Consider the following 20,206-nt stretch of genomic DNA (forward strand, 5'->3'; position numbering starts at 1 on the left):
GTACCCAGTTAGTTGAAAGGAGACAAGCTGTGAAACATATTGCAAAACTGAGGTTTAAAGGACAAATACATTATCCATTTAAAAACAGATATCTAAGACAAAATAACTCAAACATTCTGAGGTCTGATACTTGCTTATGCACACTGACATCCACAACTGCTACCGGTGCGGAAGCAACGCCAGGCCTGGTTCTGTATAGTCACAGCCGAGCTGAACACCTTAGCTCCGACACCTGGATGTGTTCTAGAGAATGACAGGCTGAGACTGTAGTTTGGTTTAACTACTGGCTTTGTTGCAATAATCCTCGAATACCACACAGTGGCAGCTTTTGGCATCATAAAAATGGGACATAACTGAAGGGAAGGCTTCACACATCACAAAGACCGGGTTGGTTAATGACTAAATCTCACTACATGAATACGCAATCTTAAATTACTGTGCTTATCAGCCATTTCTCGCATTCATGTGTAGGAAAAACCATGGAGACGTGTCCCTGGAGGGCAGGTTGTAAACTGCAACAGTTACTAGGAAGTCAGTCCTTTACATGCTCGTAACATGGGCGAGCTCTTGAGATGGGATCTGGGTGGCAGGAGAGGTTGCTTTTCAGAGGAAAGCTGCCTGGGACCCAGCATGGTGGAGCAGCTTTGAAGCTGAGTCCCCTCTGGGTGCATACTGGGTTCCAGGGGATGATCCTTGGCTTGAGGGCAGGCTGCTTGATGGAAGGGGACGCTCCACAATAAGAAAGAACAAAGGCTTTGGTTTGTCCTCATCCTCCAGTCTGTCCCACACACCTGCCATCTCTGGGTTTTGGTGGCCCCAGTGAGTGGCTGTGGAAAAGGAGGAGGGCCAGGTGGGTGCTGGCAGCTGTCCTGCACCACTGCTGGGGTCGGGTGGAGTTGCTGGTGGAGTTCTGTGATAGCAGAATTGGCATCTCCTTTCTGCGGAAGCACCAGTCTGCACAGAAAGCATAGGATGTATTGTATTAATGGGCTAGAGACAAAGTCGTCCCAGAGCCCCTCCAGGGCCAGGCAGGTTTATAAGGTAGTGGTAGGAAAAAGCTTGGTGGCTGAGGCAGTGGCCAGTTTTGAGACCAGCTGACCCCCCATGAAGAAAAACTCAGCAGTCCTTGGTTATTCAGTGTTTTTGATGAGGCAGCTAGCTGGAGCGCTGGACCATGCAGAATTTGTTGCAAGAACTTCAGACAGACGTGGAAAAACTAGAGATGGGGCCCTGCTGGCCTGCACAGAAGGGACAACGACCACCATTTGGGGTCCTTTTAGCATGGTGGGCTGCCCTGGCCGAGGTGGCCAAGATGGCACCTGTTTCCTGCCTCAGAAGAAAAGGCACTGACGCACTGACCCTTTGAGGTTGTGTGGGGTGTGGTCAGTGCCCTCCTGCCTGAGGGTCAAGTGTGTTTTCAAGTCAACTTCAGCAGACCTCATTTAACCATTTTTTGTTCCCTTAAAAAAAAAAGACCCAAAAAACCAAATCCCAATAAATATGTTATTTTTCTCCATCACAATATTGCTTAGAAAAATAAGAGCCGGCAAGCAGCAATTGTCCTGGAGGCCCAGAGTGTCTCCTGGTGAGAGGCAGAGGGTAGAGCATGGCATGGGATGGGCAGCTGTCTGTTGTGCCGTCGGTCTGTAGGACACAGGGGCGTTAGGATTTCACAGTGACACGATGCTTGAAGAACAGAGAGGTCCAAGAGTCCAAGAATGAGATCAAAATAAATCAGGAGACTGCTCCCGCTGGCCTAACTGGACACCAAAAGCTCCACTTGGGATGCAGTGAGGTGGGCGGAGAAAGCTCTGGAGGAGCTCGGCTTCAGGTGGCAGGGAGCCAGCGGCACAGTTGGTGTCGGGAGATGCTGCTGGGGAACCCGAAAAACCACATCTCCAAGATGAATGCCTAAATAAGTTAAACTCAGCCATTCCAGTGTGTTCAGTGAGGTCTAGAAACCCAGATCTCCACCCTGACGCTGTGGTGGCTGCGGTGGTTTGCAGAAGGCGAGGCCAGGGGAGACACACTGCAGCCGGCTCGCTGCTGCACGCTGTGAACAAAAGGTCCTGGTACCAGGCTGGTCTCAGGCACGTGAAAAAAATACCAGTAACAAACCTCACATTTAGTTTATGTAAAAATGCAGGAGAATTCTCAGAAATCCCCTCGGAGGGACGGTGCACTTGGGGATGAAAGCGACGTCTCTTTCCAAGGAAATGGCAAAGAGGCAAAAAGGAAAGCTGCACCAGCGGAGGCCAGGTGCCTCCTGCTAGCAGGTGCTGGGGGTGCTGGCAGGAGGAGGCGCGGGGCTTCAGTGGGACACCTCCCAGGCCGGCAAGTGCACCTCGGTGCCCTGAGCCTTCTGTGGGGCCTCTGCTAGAACTGCTGGGTGAGGCGCCTGTAATGAGGTAACACTTGGTTCTCGGGAAGATACAGGGCCAGCTCCAAGGCCACGAGCACTGTGAACTCAAACCCTATCAGGTCGCGCCTGTTGAATCGAAACCTTTCTTCTAACTTCTGCAGGGGAGAAGAGAGAAGGGTTACACGGGAGCCTTCCCTCTTCCACATTTCCCACCCGGCCAGCCCCATCCCAGCAGTGGCCCTGGCTCGATGTCATGACCCTGCCTGCAGTGCCTGCCGAGCCGGGCACTCACATCGATGAGCTGCGTCACGCCGCTCTTGCGCAGGTCACTGCTGATCTTGGCAGCCAGCAGCACGCAGGCGCCAGCGCACAGCTTGCGGTTCTGTTTGCTGAGCTTGCCCTGCAGGACCAGCTTCTCAAAGTACACGTAGGCCATGGCCACCGTCACGGGCTCCAGGCTGCACTCCTCCGACAGGCTCCGCATCTCCCGCTTTAAGCTGTGGGTTAAGACAGAAGCCATGTCCCTGGGGGCTCTGGCTGGGGCTGAGGAGGCAGCCCCCTGCCACCACCAACCGAGGCTGGAGCGATGTAGCTTTGGGCCGCAAGAAACACCACCGCATCCTTCAGGGGATGGTACCCTCCGCCGTACCATGTATAACGCCCAGGGCAGGGCGCATGGGCAGGGACCGGCAGGCTGGGTTTTGGCTTCCCCCGTCCCGTGGGTGGGCACCCATGGCAGCTCCCACCTGTGCCTGGTGGGTGGAGCCACAGAGGACAGGCTCTGCTCTCGGTGGGGGGCAGTGGTCTCTGATGAGGGGTGGTTTTAGGAAGAGCCTTGAAGGGAGGTGCCAGGGTATTGAGTGAGCTGCCCTCTGGAACACTGGGGCAGAGGCCGGCAGGGCAGGCCCCCAGTACAGGGCCGTGGCCAGGAGCCCGACGTGAGCCCAGCAGTTCCGCCGCCTTCTGCTCGCTTTCCTCCGGTCATGGGTCATCAGCGTGGCACAATGTGAGAGCAGAGGCACACCTGGACGGCCTTGGCGAGCACCCAGCATGCCTGGATGGGGGCGCTTTGTGGGCCAGGGGAAGGGCCACGGAATCTACTCACAAAATAGCACACACTGGGAGGGGCCGGGCACAACAGAGGCCTTGTCCCACTCAAGTTTTAAAAAGATCCTGGGCTGCTGCGAGGGTCTGGCTGTGAGAGACCCAGTGGTGTGTGGGGGGATGCAGTGTGATGGGGCCACGGGGGGCCTGGCTTGGCGGGCGGTGGAGGTGGGGGAGCTGCTGCTGGGGGCCTGGTCGGATGGCGAGAGGGGGTTGGGGATGGGCAGCGGCTAGACTTGTCAAGCTGGAGAGAATCTACCAGAAACTGGAGAGGAGAGGCTGGCAGGGCCTCCCAGGACGATGAGATGGTCTGAGAGGGTGTCCTCACCTCCTGATTTTGCTCAGCGTCAGTTTGACATGGGGGAACTTCTCCCTGAAGGTCTCGTTCATGTCCTTTTTGAGGTCTGAGGGCTTCACGTATTCTATCACTGTGGTCTGCAACAGAGAGTGGGCAGGGTTGGGCCGGCCCCTCGCACAGTCCATGGGTCCTGCCTGCTGGGTACGATGGATTTCTCACTGTCCTGGGTTTGCAAACATGCATACGGTGTGGCTTGAGAGGCCCCGAATCTCTGAGAACAAAATGGCTCAAGAGAGAGAACTCCAGAGCCCATGCCTGCTTGGTGTGGGGAGAGCCAGGTTGCCAGGTGCCGAGGGCGGAAGGGCAAGGGTGGACCCCAGCTGGAGTGGCCAGCACTGCTCCCTGGCCTGCCCTGCACACCGCCACTGTCTGTGCTGCTGCGATCCGGGATGGGGGCACGTCACGCCCCTGGGGCAGCTTTGCCCACAGCCTGCCCCACACGCCCCGAGCCAGGACAGGTGTGCAGCTGCCTGCACCCAGGCCCTGGGAGAGGGCACTCACCATGTACGACGCAAAGATGAGGACACGTTTGTGCTTGCCGCAGGGCCACTGCGGGTCATCCAGGAGGTTGGGGTTGTACTCCAGGGTGTCCCCCACGTCACTCCCTGTAAGAGAGGCAACCCCTGACCCACCAGGAGTCTTGAGCAGTACCCATCTAGCCCCAAGGCCTGGCAGGCCAGCGCCATGGCGGGGCAAGGCCGAGCAGGGGAGGGGCTCTAGGCCATGGTTCTCTCCTGAAGGGCCCAGGGCTTAGGGCAAGAAAAGGATGTCCTGAGAGGAGGGGCCCTCCCTGGAGTCATCTGTGGGTGGATGCAGCTCCTCCCCACTGCCTGGCTCAGGCCAAGCCCAGGGATAGCGATTCAGTGTGGAGCTGTTCCTCTCCTGACCCTGTTCCCCAGGCTCCATCTGCACGGAGGGCTACAGATTGAAAGGGGCTTGCTGATGCTGCTGCAGTCCCTGGGCCGTGGTTAAGGCACGCGGGTCACCCTGTTCCAGGCCGTGGTTAAGGCACGTGGGCTACCTAGTTCTGTGCTGGCTGGTGCCGACTTGGTGGGGGCAGGTTTATGTCTTGACCCTGGCAGAGTCCGGGGGACACTGGGCCGAGGTGTGGGCAGCAGGCCATGGCTGTCACTCTTGTGTGTGACCAGGGCGTTGGTGGGATACAGGAACTTCGCATAAGACACGACCTGGAAAAGCAAATGCATCTGGCCTCAGCTCTGCCTCCCGGGACCAGAGGGCAAAGTGAGCTCCCGCTGCAGGAAGCCCAGACGCACATGCCAGGAGCCCTGCATGGAAAATGAAGGGAACAACTCAGATCAAGCCGTTGAGGCTGCGTCTGAGCTAGACGCTGCTCCTCACATAGCTAGAACATTCCGGAACACTACTGTGCTTTATCTGGGTTCTGTAGCCTGTAACGTTCTCCCTGCCTCTGAAGACTGCTGACCACCAGCACAGAGGCCAGAGGGTTGGCGAGCCCCACCCTGCAGCAGGGGGGTGTCCAGGAGCACCTGGCTGTGGGGCAGTGGCGCAGACCTCAGGCACGGCCAGGCGGGGGAGTCCGACGGGCTCCAGGGCCACGTTCTCAGGGCTGCACGGGCCCGCATCCACTCCACCCTTGCGTTTTACGTGGAGTGAAGCACAGCTTCACGTGTGCCTCGTGGGCACTGACGTGGGACTGCTCCCACCCGCCTGCCTGGCCCTGACGGCGCTGGGTGTCCACCAGCGAAGAGGCTCTTACCTTCCCGTCTGCTCCTAGCTCCACACCTTCTAGCTCAAAGACCATCTCGGAAGACACAGAGACGCCGCCGGACGGGTGCCTCTGCTTCTGGCTGTCCACCCTCAGGTCACTGCAAACATGGGAGAGGCAAGGGGCTGTGGTCTGCGCTGAACTCAGGCTCTGGCAGCCCAGCCCACCTGTCCGCTGGCCCGAGGTGCTCTCGGGAACAATGTCAGCACAGCCCCTCGGGAAAGAAAGGCGGCACTGGTGTGACCAGGAAGGCGCACGTCAGGAGTGCTTTCATGGAAGGAGGGGTTTTTGAGCCCCGCTTCCCCAGTACAGACACTGGCTGGTAGAGCCCCCGGGGTGGCGCCCACCTTCACTAGCCCACTAGGTACATGTGCCCACGCCTGGTCAGGTTTCTCCACCACTGTTTTTAAGCCAGGGCCACACATAATCCCCACCCCATAGCTGTTTCCTCCTTCCCTGAATTACGCACGGATACGACTGCCTGGATGGTCACAGCACCAAGTGGCTCTGTCCACAGGAGGTGGGACAGCCCAGCCACCTGTACATCGACAGCGTGAACAGAAACCGGCTCCTCTGGAGAGTGAGGACCCGAAACGGCCCCGGGTTCCTGAGGAGCTTTGCTGGAGGTTGACATGCTGAGCCTCGCATGAGCCCGGGGGCAGCCGCACCTGGGGGCGCAGTGCCCGCTGATGCCTCCTGGGCCTGGCCGAGACCAGGCCTTGCCTTCTGCCTAGATGGACACCGCATGCGAGGCAAGCGCTGAGTACTCACCTGATCCGCAGGCCTTCCCCATAGGGCAGGACCGAGAAGGCCGCGCACAGGGACCGCTTGGCACAGATGAGCACGATCCTGCAGGGGGACGGAGTCAGGGGAGACGGGGCCGGGGAGCGGGGCTCAAGGTACTGCTGCTTCCAGAGCTACAGACATTTCCATGGAAAATTCCTTCTGCCTAAATTCAGGTGCTGGGAAACTGCCCATGCTGTCCAAGGGGACTTGAGCCCAGGAGGCCGGGTGGCCACCGTCACTAAGCCTGGCCCCCGCAAGCTCTCAGAGTGGATTCCCTACAGGAGCTACCGGGGTTCCCCTCCCTGGGACGCCGCTGCACGTGGGCAGGCACAGCAGTGACATCCCGAAGGCTCCTTCCTGACCCAGTGCGGGTAGGGCTGGCGGCCTCACCTCAGGATCTTGGCTCATTCAGAGATGAGAGGCAGCCAGAGGGGACAGGATGGCGAGGCCAAGGGCTGCCTCGAGCCAGACCTCAGAGGTCCTGGGTGGAGCGGGGCTCAACACCACCAGAAAGGGCCTGATCCAGGTCCACAGAGAGGCTGGCCTGGAGGCTCCCTTCCAAGGCGCTCGAGCAGCCGGGCCCCGGGCCCAGAGAGCACAGGCAGAAGCCACTGTTTCTCCTCCCTTGGACGCTGGCTCTGCCCTGCCTGGGCCCAGGGTCTCACCAGGGGGACAACAGTGGGAGAACTTCTCCCCCTCTCTGGCTTGGATGACGGGAGCCAGGGCTGGCACTCACGTCTGCTGGGAGCTGTACAGGACTGATGGGGAGCAAGGGTCCATCCAGACCCACAGTCACCACAAGGAGGGTGCCCGGCAGGGGGAGCTCCAGAAGGAAGGGAGCACTCTGGACCTCAGGACACCTCAGGACATGCAGTGATGGGAATACGGGGCCACAGGAACAGCCCCTGCGGCCTCCCCGACACAGCCTCTCAGGGTGCAGCCGGTGCCAGCTGCGGCCCTCCGCCAGCTTTGGGCAGCCAGGTGTTTGGTTTATTCAGCCTCTCCTCCGTGCTCCCAACAAAGCCCAGCCCTCCTCCCCACACATCTCACAGCCACACCCGTTTCTGTGTCTCCAGTTTTCCTTCACGTCAGCACTGTTGCTGGAGGCTAGTGTCCACGTGTGACCCTTCACCTGGGAGCCCAGAGAGGGTGATCTCGCTGTGGTGACACCAGGGACCTGCGGGTGCTCGGCTGATGTGGAGCAAGCAGTGTGGTGGGGAGGAGGGCCCACCTCTAGAGGTGTGGAGTGTGGGGTGGGCGGGAGCTTTGGGAGTGGAGGGAAGATTGCTTGGCTGACAGGGGCAGGACCCCGTGGGCTTATGGAGACCACAGCCCTGGCCCGGTTCCCGGCTCCGCTTCATACCTGCTGTTCCTGGTGTCGTACTGCCTCATGTTCTTGATGAAGTGGGTCTTCTTCAGGCCTTTATGTCTCGGTGATCCAGATGTGTGTTTGGTTCTGCAAGGCAAAGGACACAGGTCACTCTTTTCCTCCCAGGACCCTCTGGCCCCGCAGGGGTCAGTGGCAGCCCGAGCGGAGTCGTAGAGCTCGGGGCGGACGGGGGCGTGTACCTCTGTGCTGGAGCGCATCCCACGGCATCTTCCAGAAACTCCAGGGAGCAGCGCTGGGACGTGACTCGCTTCCTGCAAGATGACAATGGAGCCTCAAAACAGGCCACCAGCCCGGGTGCCGCCTTTGTGGCCAGAAACCGAGTGCCGCCCGCTGTGCAGGGAAGGGCCACTCTCCAGCCCAGCGGCGCACCCATGGGCCGAGGGGCTTCCAGAGCCCATGCAGACTGAGGCGGGGAGGAGGGGCACCTCCTGCCTTGAGAGGTTCCTGTTTTGGAGGCACTGAGCTCTTCTCTGGGGACCAGCAGCCCTGGGGGACAGGCTCCTCAGGCATAGGATAGCACAGCACAGCACAGCACGCCAACCTGCCCTGCCCACCGAGGGTCGCTCGGCCCCAAGCAACACCCTGCTGGGGGCACCACCAACTCTGACAGGCCCATCCCACCCAGCGCTGCCTGAGACTGGTGCTGCCTGCCCCTCCCTGAAGCACAGCTGGGCATTGGGGCACCATGGCATGGGCAGGCGGGGTGGGCACCGGGCACCCCTTGCTCTCAGGCCACCTTCCCCTGGCTTGCAGCTCCCTGCACCAGCCACAACCTCCCACCTCAGTGCCGTCACGGGGGCTGCTCCTCCGTCTGGAACATTCTGTTCCTGCTCTTCCAGTGGCCACCTCTTTCTGAACTTTTTGGCTCATAGGTGGCCCGCTGAGGGAGGCTGCCCGGATCCTGCTATTCTGTGACTTGCTCAAGGCACTGGTCACTACAGGAAGGAGGCATCCCTGCCTCACCACCCACCTGCCGTCTGCCTCCCCTTCCAGAGTGCCGGCCCCATGGATGGGGCAGGGTCTGTCCCCACTCACTGCTGTCCTTAGTGCCTGCCCTCCTGCCTGGACTTCAGGAGTCTCCCAGGTGTTTCCCATAAGCGAAACGTGCAGGCAAATATTTGTTGGCTGAATGACTGTACAACGCACTTCCTTGAAGACCCCTCAGGGCACAATGCCCACTGCTCCTCAGACCCTCAACACTCGGGACCAAGCGAGGCCATCCTGATGCGGAGACATGACGTGGTTCAGTAACTCTCAGGGTCACGCAACTCCAAGTGCAGAGCTGGGTCTTGAACCCAGGTCTGTCGGGGACTCCAAAGCTTTGTTCTCTCCCTTATACCGGGAGCCATGAATGTGTGCCTGAGCACCAAGGCATTCCAAAAGCACAGCTTAGGAGATAAGGTCCCATGCCAGTTGATACAACGTTGCAGTATTGGAAAACCACTCCAATTGCGATGACAATGATGGGCGATGTGGCGTGGCACGTCTGAGGATCCTGCCTGCCCTGCAGGGCTGTTGGCCCCCAGAAGGGAGCAGTTGGTGGTGGTGATGGCGGTGGTGGTGATGGTGATGGCAGTGGTGATGGTGGTGGTGGTGATGGTGGTGACGGTAGTGGTGGTGATGGTGGTGACAGTGGTGATGGCGGTGGTGGTGATGATGGTGATGGTTATGGCGGTGGTGGTGGTGGTGACAGTGATGGTGATGGTGGTGATGGCGATGGTGGTGGTGACGGTGGTGGTGGTGGTGACGGTGGTGGTGGTGGTGATGGTGGTGGTGGTGGTGGTTATGACGGTGGTGATGGTGGTGGTGGTGGTGACGGTGATGGTGGTAATGGTGGTGGTGGTGATGGTGATGATGGTGGTGATGGTGATGTGATGGTGGTGGTGGTGACGGTGGTGATGATGGTGATGGTGGTGGTGATGGTGATGGCGGTGGTGGTGGTGGTGATGGTGGCGATGGTGATGACGGTGGTGATGGCAGTGGTGGTGACGATGGTGGTGATGGTGATGACGGTGGTGATGGCGGTGGTGGTAATGGTGATGGGGCCCTCTGCAGGGTGCTGTGTGGTTTATTAAATGGAGCAACTTGGCCCCCAGGCTTGGCATGGGGCATTCTCAGCGTGTCAACAGTAGCCTTTTTATTAAGTGTCACCCAATCTGGACTCCGGGCCAAGGGCAGGTGTACTGCTGGGGGTCACTTCTGGGAACTCTCCAGGCTCCAGGCCAGCGCCGTCCTCAGGGTCCCATGGGCCTTCCCCCAGCAGGACCCCGGCTTACACACAAGACCTGGTGCACTCAGGCCCCCTCTCTGGTGGAGCCGGCCTGGAGTCCAGGTCCCCACACCATGCCCTTGCCAGGAGCCTCCCACTGAAAGCCAGTGTTTGTCCCAAGGCGCTGGGTTGGGCACAGCCACAGTCCCATGGTGGGTGCCACCTGTGCCAGCGAGAGTGCCACAGCCACCACCTCACCAACACTCGACGGCTCACAGTGACAACCACACCCATTTATCAAGTGGTACGGAGAGGCCTGGCCCTTGCCCAGGTCACACAGCCAGTGTAGTCCTGGTTGGTACCAAGGCTGTCACCTTGACGCCAACATTGATGCTGTCATTTTTTTCTTTTTTTGAGATGGAGTCTCTCTCTGTCACCCAGGCTGAAGTGCAATGGCGCCATCTTGGCTCACTGCAACCTCCGCCTGCTGGATTCAAGCAATCCTCTCTCCTCAGCCTCCTAAGTAGCTGGAATTGCAGGTGCCTGCCTCCATGCCCGACAATTTTTTTTGTATTTTTTAGTAGAGATGGGGTTTCACCATATTGGCCAGTCTGGTCTCAAACTCCTGACCTTAAATGATCCGCTGGCCTCGGCCTCCCAAAGGGCTGGGATTACAGGCGTGAGCCACCATATTTTATTTTATTTATTTTTTTGAGATGGAGTCTCACTCTGTTGCCCAGGCTGGAGTGGAGGGGGCGCCATCTTGGCTCATTGCAAGCTCCACCTCCCAGCTTCAAGTGATTTTCCTGCCTCAGCCTCCTGAGTAGCTGGGACTACAGGCGCCCGCCACCACGCTCAGCTAATTTTTTTGTATTTTTAGTAGAGACGGGGTTTCACCCTGTTAGCCAGGATGGTCTTGATCTCCTGACCTCGTGATCCACCTGCCTCGGCCTCCCAAAGTGCTGGGATTACAGGCGTGAGCCACCACGCCCGGCCTGTTTTTTTTTTTGAACAGATGCTCGACTGATGATGGGGTCAGGTCCTTTTTTTTTTTTTTTTTTGAGACAGAGTCTCACTCTGTGGCCCAGTCTAGAGTGCAGTGGCACAATCTTGGCTCAGTGCAACCTCCACCTCCCAGGTTCAAGCAATTCTCCTACCTCAGCCTCCCGAGTAGCTGAGAGTACAGGCGCCTGTCACCATGCCTGGCTAGTTTTTGTATTTTTGGTAGAGATGGGGTTTCACCATGTTGGCCAGGCTGGTCTCGAACTCCTGATCTCAAATGATCCGCTGGCCTCGGCCTCCCAAAGTGTCAGGATTACAGGCGTGAGCCACCATATTGTATAACGAAGTGTGAAATAGCTCCTGTAATTTGTTGGATACTGTACTGAAAGTGAAAAAGAACATGGTTGTAGGGGTACCAAGTACAGTTTGAAGTCAGGAACTTAAGATGTGATTAAAATCTTTTAAAAGGCAAAGTCAACAAGAGCTTGTTGAAAACAAGCTAGGATTGAAAGCAGAAAATCCACTAAAACGCCTGGTGCCTCACATTGGCGCCATCACCAGACACAGCTGTGCACCTGCCCAGTCCCAGCTGGAGGTGGGGGCAGGGGACCAGCCGGATGGCTGCAGAAGGTGGGTGAGCAGCTGGCCAGAGGAGAGCACTTGGATGATGGGACCAGGAAGGGCTGGGGATGCGGTGGGCTGGCCTGCACAGTGGGGTGGGTGGGGAAGGAGGAGCTAAGGGGCTGGGGTAGGCAGCAGGCTCTGAGGGCAGTGGGAGGGGCAGAGCACCCAGCTGCATGCTGAGGGGGTGTGTGGCAGACGCCGGCTGTCCCGAGAGGCCCAGGTGAGTGCTGGCCTGTGATGGGTGACGGCGGACAGACTGCCCCAAGAGGAGCCCAGCGGAGGCTGGATGGGCAGGGCCCACACTGGGGAAAGAAGCCAGTGAAGGAGGAGATTTGGGGACTGTCCCCAGAGAGGTGTTTGTGTGTCCTGACCTACAAGGCTGGGCCTGGAGGCCCTGAGGACCAGCCTGTGTGTCTTTCTGGAAGCTCCTTCCCACGGGTAATTACCAGGGGATGCCTGGGTATTTGCATGCCTGGGACTTCATTTGGAGGCCCGTGGGGGTCCCAGCAGAAGCCTGAGGCCCCGCGGCAGCCTGCCTGGTGGTACCGTTGGATCCTCTGGCCCAGGACGCAGAGGAGCTGCAGCAGGGAGGCTGACGCTGCTGCCGGCTGGCCTGGCTCCTCCGTGATTTTCTGGTCGCTGCAGGAATGATGGGTTTCTCTCCACTATGCTTTAAAATCTGTTCCCAGCAGGTTCTTCTACAGATCTTTCTCTGTAATTTCCTTCTCTTTTCTTTTTTTGTAAGCATCTTATTAGTAAACTAGATCTGCACAGTTCTAGGAAGGAGGCAGCATTCTGACGCTCAGTTCATGGGTGGGTAAATTGAGGCAAGGAGCTGTTTAGCAACTTGCCCAAGATGACATGGCTGGTAAGAGACAGAGTGGGGACCTGAGCCCACGTGGACGGCCGGGCTCTGGCACCCAGTGGCGCCGCTCCCACTGTGTCAGTTGGAATGGTGGCCGCTCTCCACTGTCTCTCAGGGGCTCATTTTGTGAACCTGGCCCCGTTGCAGGTCACGTTTTTTGGTTTGAGTCCACAAGACTCTGACAATGCTGAAGGAGGTGCCTGCACATGGGTGCAGGGCAGGGCGGCCAAGTGGGGAGGACGCCGCTTTGGCCTTCCCTTCCCCTCTGCCTCCACGGGAGCTGGTGTCAAGGGAGAACGAGGGAGGTGCTTCCCTTCCAGAACCAGGGCTGTTGCAACTCCACGCATCACCGCAGCAGGGCGCTGCTGCTGACGGGACGGGCACTGGCAAGTGCAGATGGGACCCAGGCCAGCGTCCATTGCTTGGTGCCTCTGGAGGATGGGCTGGGAACCCATGAGATGGACCCCTGCTCGCCCCGGGCCCCACAGAGAGGTGTCGGTGTGTCCGGCAGACATGGAGAGGATCACGCATGTGCAGATGTACCACCTTACGCCTAGCTGGAAGCAGCACACACGCCGGTCAGCAGGAGGCGGGACATGCGCAATCAGGGGACGGCATGCACAGCATGCTGCAGGTGCACACAGACGCCACACGGGTTGAGAGGCTCGTCATGTGGTGACACAGGTCCCCTCAGTGTGGGGGAGGGGCTGAGGAGGGGCACCAGGGAGCTGGGGGATTGGCCTGTGTCTCCGCAGGGGAGTGGCTCCGTGGGGTGTGCCCAGGCAAATGCACTGAGCTGCACGCACCTTCCATGTGCTTCACTCATCCTGCGTGCACCAGACCCCTCCGTCCAAAACATGCAAGGAACAAGCGAGCAAAGCAGAAAGAACGAGGCCCTCGGCAAGGCCCACGCCCCACACCCCACATGCTGGGGCAAATGCAAGTTCTGCTGAGTCCCAGGAGGCCCCGCTCCTGCTCAGCCACCGTAGAGTTACACTGGCGGTGCCTACTCGTGGTTCCCCCCACGTGGCAGTGACCAGCTCAAAGCTGCCTGCATCTGACTTGGGAAGAAGGGGTTGGGGGTTGGGGCAGTGGGGAGTCTGCCCCCCCAGTCTGCTGACACACCTCACTCACTCTCAGCACTAAATGGCGGGCCACCAAGCCTCCATCCAAAGTCATGCTCACAGACAGGAAGAGAAATCTGCTATTTATTAAACACTGTTTCTAGTGTTCGGTACATTTCCTTTCCTTTGTAACGGAAGAAATGCCCAGAAGGGGCTGAGGCCTGAAGACCCCATCCCCATTAGAAACCCAAAGCTGTGTGTACGAGCTGCTCTGAGGCTCAGAGGGAACTCAGGAGGCCCGGCCGGGCAAAGGGGCCGTTGAAATGACCTTGACGGTGGGTCTGACAATGTGAGAACAGCCGGGAGCCTCTGCCGAATGACTGCGCTTCTGTCCCACGGCGTGCCCACGCCAGCACCGGGGAGACTGGAACCGTCTCTCGCCAGGAAGGCGTGGGCAGTGGTGTTGTTCGGCTGCCCCCAGCTCCAAGTGTGGGCAGTGGTTTTGTCCGACCACCCCCAGCCCCATCCCCTGGACCCTGGGGCACAGCTGTGGAATGCGTGGCTGGTCTCGGGTGCCCCATCTCATCAAGTCCCAGGTAAAGCAAAAGCGCCCAAGTCCAGCACTCCCTGCGGGGGCTGCAGCCTCACCCAGCGAAAGCATCCATATGGGGTCACAGGGCTGGGCGGAGTGGGGGGTGTCCATTGCCCTCTGGGCTGCCATGGGAGATGTGCCCCCAGGCTCTGGCCTCAGCTGACCACTGCCAGCTGCTTGCCAGCTGGAGAGCAAGAAACCCCCAAATCACGCTTGTAAACAAGGTGCCAGATGCTGAATTGGTTTAACTTGGACAGCAGCTTGGCGACGCTGAGTGGCTCCTGGCCCAGACAGCAGCTTGTCCCACAGCTGCAGCCCAGCCCCAGGCCCAGGCCTTTCCCCAGAAGCATCTCGGCACACACCCTCCAGAACTGGGGGGCTCTGCTTGCTGATGGCTGCACCCTGGCTCTTTGCTGGGCCACATCTGGCTGCAATTTGGGGAAAGTTGTTCGCTTGAGGGGATGCCACTCTCACCTCATTAGCGTTGTGGACACTCACCAAGGGCTGTTGTAGGTTGAAGGGTATCGCCCCCAGAAGACAGGGTGAAGTCCTAACCCCAGTACCTGTGAATGGGACCTCGGATGGAAAGAGGGTCTTAGTTGAACTGTGTCGCCCCCTGAGGGTCTTAGCAGATGTCATCAAGTTAAGATGTCACAGGTTAAGTCCTAATCCAATGACTGGTGTCCCTGTGAGGAAATCACCACATGGAGACACAGACACGCAGGAACAGTGCGGCACGGAGGCGGAGGCAGAAACTGGAGCCACAAGCCCGGGAGTGCGTGGAGCCACCAGAAGTGGGAAAAGGCAGGAAGGATCCTCCCTGGAGCCTGCAGAGGGAGCGTGGGTCTGTCCACACCTTGAGGTTGGGCTTCTGGCCTCCAGAGCTGGGAGAGGCCACGCTGGTGCCGTAAGCCACCGGGTTTGGGAGGAGGGGGCGGCGGGGAGGAGGCTGCAGGCGGAACACCCCAGCACCTGCTCAAACCCAGCTGGGGAGGCCCAGAGTTCCCACTTGCTTTTGGGCATTAGGCAATGGCAAAGTTAAAAGTGAAAATAAACCTGGTTGGAAGTTCTATGAGGAAAACAAGGATTCTAATGATTCACTCACTGGTTCAACACAAAGTGCCACACCAGGCTGAGCCTCCCTGGGAAAGAATAAGTATTAGGACCGAGAAGTTACTGTTCCCTGAGCAGCCTTGTTGTAACAGGAGGCTCCATTTGACTGGGTGTGGCGGCTGCCACCTGAAATCCCAGCACTTGGGAGGCCAAGACGGATCACGTGAGCCAGAGTTTAAGACCAGCCTAGACAATATAGTGAGACCCCATGTCTGCTAAAATAAAAACTTAGCAGGGTGTGGTGTGTGCCTATAGTTCCAGCTACTGGGAGGCTGAGACAGGATAACTCGAGCCCAGGAGGTAGAGGCTGCAGTGAGCTGTGATTGCGCCACTGCACTCCTGCCTGGGAGACAGAGAGAGACCCTGTCTCAAAAAAAAAGAGGCTCTGCTCATCTCACACTGACTCCTGCCACATACCTCACCAAGCCCTGGGCACGCATCTGACCTCTGACCTCAGGGAGGCCATGCTTAGTGCTTAGTGTGAACCCGCTTCTCAGAGGAGATTGAGGCTCAGAGAGGCCATGTCACCTGCTCAAGGTCACAGAGGTACTGAACAGTGCAGCTGGGATTCCAAGCCAAGTCTGTTCCCAGAGCCCAGGTCAAACCACCACACTCACAAGACCAACATCAGGGCTGCCTTCAGGACTTTCAGAATTCTCTCCATTTCCTGAAACCAACTCATCCTAGAACTCTCAAGCCAGGAGCTAGCAGCCCCTTTTGCCGGGGCAGCCACCCTTCCCTCGATCAGCAGCCAGGCCCAGGGAACGCAGGGTGAAATGGACGTCCTCACGCTGGGGTCTACCTATCAGGGAGGGGCCATGGCCCTCAGAAACAAGGTCAGCACCACGAACTTGGCAGCAGAGCCCCAGGAGGGACGCCTCCCCCTCCAGGAACAGAGTGGGGTTCAGGAAAGACCTGAACAGGGACATGGGGGCCAAGGAGGAGGGAAGGGAGGAGACAGCCCTGGGCAAGGCAAGGGGTGGTGGCGCTTGGGCCCATGGTGGGTACGGCAGGAGGACTGCAGGCACCCAGCCCATGCCACGTCCCATCCTGTCCCAGGGATGCCGGCCACAGCGCACCTTCTAACAATCCCACAGGGCAGGGATGTGCTGCACGTGGGCAGCATGCTGCGCTCAGAACTGTCACCATGGAGGCTCTGGGCCTGCAGGGGGTGCCTTCTCAGTCACAGGCACTTCCCTGCGCGTCGCCACGCTCTGCCTCCCTCCACTCAAGTGGGCTCCACTCCACGCCAGGCCTGGTGCACACAGGGGTGCATGAACTCTGTGGAAGGAGGGCCTATGACAGCACCCAGTCTGCCTGGTGTCACCATCCGGTTCTGGACACTCAACATGCAGGACTGAGGGAGAAAGCTGTTTCCATGTCAAACAACAGGGCCCGGGGTTAGGGAAAAGCCCACCACACCTGCGGAGCTCGGCCCGTTGGGGTGAGCCCGCTTCCCCTGGAGTCCACACCTTAGGGCCTTGCCGCTCTGCCCTGGAGAGTCACCACCTTGTTCCATCTCTCCCGCCTTCCTGAAGGAGCTGGCCATGCCAAATGCATGGGGCCTGGCTGCCACATTTGGGCAAATCCATCCCTCTGCCCCAATCATCCCTCTGACCCTCCCTGGAGCAGCGGCCAGGCATGTCCGTGGGGGGACATCTTGTGGACAGGCCTGGGTCTGCAGGCACCCTCAGCCTGGCTACGGCCAGGAACACTTCCAAGGATGGAGTGCACCGCGACCTGCGTGTGACGCAACCTGCATGTGACGTCATAGTCTTTGAGGACAGAGTGCTGTGTTCTGGGCCCAAACTTCCCCAACCAAAGACCTTAGAGGAACCCAATGCCTCCACCTGCCCGAAGGCCAGGGGCGTGGGGCAACTCTGATGACCTCCAGGTAAGCAAGGAGCACGTGCCAGCCTTGACCCAAGAGCTCTGTGTCGGCCCCTTTGCTGCACACCTGCAGGGGCTGCCTCTGGGAACAGCCGCCCAGCAGGCACTTGGACCTGTGGACAGTGGCTCCCTTTGAGAAGGAACCGCAACAAGCAGCCAGTCCTGGGCCCAGAGCCCACAGTCACTCCTGGAGGTGAGGGCTGTGGGAGGCAGGGTCACCCAGGTCCTGTGGTCTCTGGGAGAAGGACACAGGGTGTCGGGCAGCCAGGGGCCATCTGGGCAGGGGGCACACGCTGGACAGGCAGGGCTCATGGTTGGGGTTGCCCTGGGATGGGCTGAGGTGGTTCCCAGAAATGGAATCAAGGCAGGGGGAGCAGTGGAGACCCAGGGTGTGACAGACCCAAAGATACCGAGCTGAGAGTGATGTGGGGAAGGGCGGGGCTCAGCAGGGAAGTGACAGGGAGAGGAGGGGTGCCAGAGACCAGTGGCTGTGGGATGGGAGATGTGGCTGTGCAGGGGCCTCTGGGAACAGGTGTCAGTGACAGTGCCAGGAGGACCCCGGCCCACATGCTGGGTCTGAGGAGGTGGGCATGGACGGTGTGGCCCGGTTCAAAGAATGCGAAGAGATGCACAGGGCTGTCCATGTGTCCCTGTGTCCCGGGCACTGGTACCAGTGGATGGGGGTGGGGGCATGTCCAGAACCCACAGGGCTGGGGGTCTCAGGGGTAATAAGGGCTGAACCCTAAAACCCATTTCAGAGCACTGACAACGTGGAGATCCAGACCCCGTATTCAGGGGCTGGGAGAATTCAGGGGACAATGAACCCTATGTGTGGGGGGTGACAGGGCCTGAGGAAACCCTCAGCCAGCCCAGGAACCCCCAGTTCTGTATCCAGGACTGACAAGGTCCCAGGTGAACCCAACCCCTGTGTCCTGGGCTGATGAGGGCCCAGACTGACCCTGACCCCTGTGTCCTGGGTTGACAGGGGCTCAGGTCACCTGAACCTCTGTCCAGGGCTGACAAGGCCCCAGGTGAACCCAACCCCTTTGTCCTGGCCTCTGTCCAGGGCTGACAAGGCCCCAGGTCACCTGACCCCCTTGTCCTGGGCTGATGAGGCCCCAAGTAATCCTGACCCCTAGTCCTGGGCTGATCCGGCCCCCGTCCCCGTCCCTGTACCCCGCGTCCTGGGCTGACCTGGCCGGGCCCCCACTCACCTCTGGCGCTGCCCATCCAGGCCGAGGCCGGTGGGCACCTGCGTGGGGCTGAGCAGGCCCTGGGGCGCGGGGGTCCTGGCGGGCAGCCCGGTGGGGGGCTCCGGCGGCGGCGGCGCTGGCGGTTCGCGGGCCTCGGCGGGCGGCGGCGGGGGCTTCTCTCCGCCCGGGCCCAGGCTCGGGGGCCGCCCGTCCAGGGAGATGTTGTTGAGGAAGAAAAGCGCGGCCTGGCGGCGCCGCGAGTCCCCGCGCCTCCGCAGCGCCTGCGGCGGGGCCCGAGCGGCCGAGGTCGGCGCGGCGGGTGGCGGGGGCCCGGCGGGGCCGGGGGCCGGGCCCGGGGCTCCACCGGCCGCGGCCGCGGCCATCCTCAGACTGCGCCCGCCGCCGCGAAGCGCCCCACCCCCTGCCCGCGCGCCCGCGCGCCCGCCGCCCATTGGCCGCGGCGCGCCCACATGCAAATGTATCGCCGTCGCGCTCTCCCATTGGCCAGCGAGGTGCCGCGCTCAGGGCGCTCCCCTGGGTCCTAGAGGCGGTCGGACGCAGCAGCAGGGAGTCGGGAGCTGCGCGCCTCCCCGCCGGTTCGAGTCCCCGTCTTGGGACCTGCGGCCGCGGGGCTCTCGCTTTCTGTTCCCTTTGCTGTATGGCGGCCTTCGCGGATGGCCTCCATCGAGCGCACATTTTAAGGCTCCGGACCCAGGGCGGCGTGGGTGAGGCCCCAGCACACTTCCCTGTCCGGAGGTGTGTCTGGGCGGCGCTTCAGCGGGCGCAGGGCGGCCCCTGGAGGAGCCCCACCGCTTCCCGGAAGGGCCCGCGTGCCATCTGGCCTCCTTCATTGACAGAAGGGAACGAGGGTCTGAGTGGAGAAGGCACCTGCTTGGGATCAAAGCCCCAGGCAGAGTCCTGCACTTCCTGCAGTAGCAAAGTGACCTTGAGCCTGCCTTGTGCCCAGGCCTGTTTCCTCTCTGTGCCTGGGTGCCCCTGACTTCAGAACCTGTGAGCCCGTGGCACCGGGATGGTCAGGGCCTGCCTCTGGAGCCCGGGAGCCTGTCTGCAGTCTGGAGGGGAACCCGCTGTATCTTTGTGGAGGGACTCAGGACCTTGCACCCACCTCTGTGTCACCTGCCTGCTCTGTCCAGCTTTCTTTCATGGGTTTACGTATCTTTAAAGAGGGGACAATGATTTCAGCCTCAGGGTACTGTCAGGATGAAACTGGCTCAGTGAGGGGGTCGGGCTGTGGCCGGAGGCCAGGCACATGCAGTGGTCAGTCCGCGAATGCGCTGCAGTACCTCGCACCTGCCCGCATGCGCCCAGCCTCTCCTGTGCTGGGTGCTGGGGACCCGGTGGGACCGACAGGCACAGCGCTGGCCCTAGGAGCACCTGGTGTGTGGGGAGGCAGCATGATGGCCAACAAGGCAGTGGGCGAGTGGGCAAGACAGGGTCTTCATCACCACCCCTAGCATGGGCCCCTGCCCTTCAGGCCCCTACCCACCTCCCGCCTGCCTGCTCCCTCCTGTGGGCCTTCACGGGCCACCATTGGGGCTCACGCAGCATGCAGCACCTCCATTTCCTTTCCCTCCGCCCTTCCAAGTTGGCCTCCAAGGCCTCTGCCAGGCCTAGGGGAAGGTGGGCAGCTGTCCTGTCTAGGAGAACGCGGGGCTGGGTGGCATAGCAGAGGGGTGGCTGCGGATTCTGGATCCACAGAATGGGGTGCTGACTTGTGTGCCTGGGGGCTCCCGTGAGCGGGGAGTGAGTGTGTCCAGCGCTGTAGGGTGCTGAGGCTGGGGCAGGCACACAGTGGGCCCTCCATCCCTGCTGGCTATCACCAGGAGGAGGGGCCTGACAGGGGAGGGTGGGCCATACACCAGCAGCTTGCAGAGAATCTGGTGTCA

The 20,206-nt window shown here is 60.1% G+C and overlaps 1 protein-coding gene and 1 long non-coding RNA gene across 3 annotated transcripts, besides 4 other annotated features; both read right to left on the reverse strand.

The window, feature by feature from the left end:
- Positions 1 to 39: 39 nt before the first annotated feature.
- Positions 40 to 18,691, reverse strand: CABLES2 (Cdk5 and Abl enzyme substrate 2). Of its 2 annotated transcripts, NM_031215.3 has the most exons (10): positions 18,321 to 18,691; positions 7,927 to 7,998; positions 7,721 to 7,813; positions 6,343 to 6,420; positions 5,563 to 5,671; positions 4,846 to 5,011; positions 4,326 to 4,429; positions 3,795 to 3,901; positions 2,655 to 2,859; positions 40 to 2,517 (listed from the first exon to the last, which is right to left on the reverse strand). In NM_031215.3, exons 1-10 carry the CDS (start codon positions 18,680 to 18,682, stop codon positions 2,377 to 2,379), a joined length of 1,437 nt encoding a protein of 478 aa, NP_112492.2. In that variant the 5' UTR covers positions 18,683 to 18,691; the 3' UTR covers positions 40 to 2,376. The 2 variants fall into 2 exon arrangements, with proteins under 2 accessions (NP_112492.2, XP_047296486.1); XM_047440530.1 differs by lacking the exons at positions 6,343 to 6,420; positions 18,321 to 18,691.
- Positions 3,794 to 4,294: an enhancer, noted in NCBI's record as "H3K4me1 hESC enhancer chr20:60967444-60967944 (GRCh37/hg19 assembly coordinates)". NCBI's record gives its function as "activates a minimal SCP1, AML or CMV promoter by ChIP-STARR-seq in naive H9 embryonic stem cells {active_cell/tissue: H9 hESC(naive)}" and the evidence as "EXISTENCE:reporter gene assay evidence [ECO:0000049][PMID:30033119]".
- Positions 4,295 to 4,795: an enhancer, noted in NCBI's record as "H3K4me1 hESC enhancer chr20:60967945-60968445 (GRCh37/hg19 assembly coordinates)". NCBI's record gives its function as "activates a minimal SCP1, AML or CMV promoter by ChIP-STARR-seq in naive H9 embryonic stem cells {active_cell/tissue: H9 hESC(naive)}" and the evidence as "EXISTENCE:reporter gene assay evidence [ECO:0000049][PMID:30033119]".
- Positions 5,012 to 5,536: an enhancer, noted in NCBI's record as "H3K27ac-H3K4me1 hESC enhancer chr20:60968662-60969186 (GRCh37/hg19 assembly coordinates)". NCBI's record gives its function as "activates a minimal SCP1, AML or CMV promoter by ChIP-STARR-seq in primed H9 embryonic stem cells {active_cell/tissue: H9 hESC(primed)}" and the evidence as "EXISTENCE:reporter gene assay evidence [ECO:0000049][PMID:30033119]".
- Positions 13,638 to 18,300, reverse strand: LOC105372709 (uncharacterized). The gene is made up of 2 exons (XR_936967.3): positions 16,296 to 18,300; positions 13,638 to 14,930 (listed from the first exon to the last, which is right to left on the reverse strand). It is a non-coding gene; the product is annotated as an uncharacterized LOC105372709 (long non-coding RNA).
- Positions 18,608 to 18,857: a silencer, noted in NCBI's record as "silent region_13112". NCBI's record gives its function as "represses an Ori minimal core promoter by ATAC-STARR-seq in GM12878 lymphoblastoid cells {active_cell/tissue: GM12878}" and the evidence as "EXISTENCE:reporter gene assay evidence [ECO:0000049][PMID:35858748]".

The sequence above is a fragment of the Homo sapiens genome, chromosome 20, assembly GCF_000001405.40.
Source record: "Homo sapiens chromosome 20, GRCh38.p14 Primary Assembly".
NCBI classification, from domain to species: Eukaryota; Metazoa; Chordata; class Mammalia; order Primates; family Hominidae; genus Homo; species Homo sapiens.

Coding starts and splice junctions, on each gene's coding strand:
- CABLES2 (NM_031215.3), bottom strand. CDS start 18,682: ATGGCCGCGGCCGCGGCCGGTGGAGCCCCGGGCCCGGCCCCCGGCCCC. Junction 7,999..18,320: donor CTGGATGGGCAGCGCCAGAG/GTGAGTGGGGGC, acceptor GTCATCTTGCAG/GAAGCGAGTCACGTCCCAGC. Junction 2,860..3,794: donor ACGCTGAGCAAAATCAGGAG/GTGAGGACACCC, acceptor CTTAACCCACAG/CTTAAAGCGGGAGATGCGGA.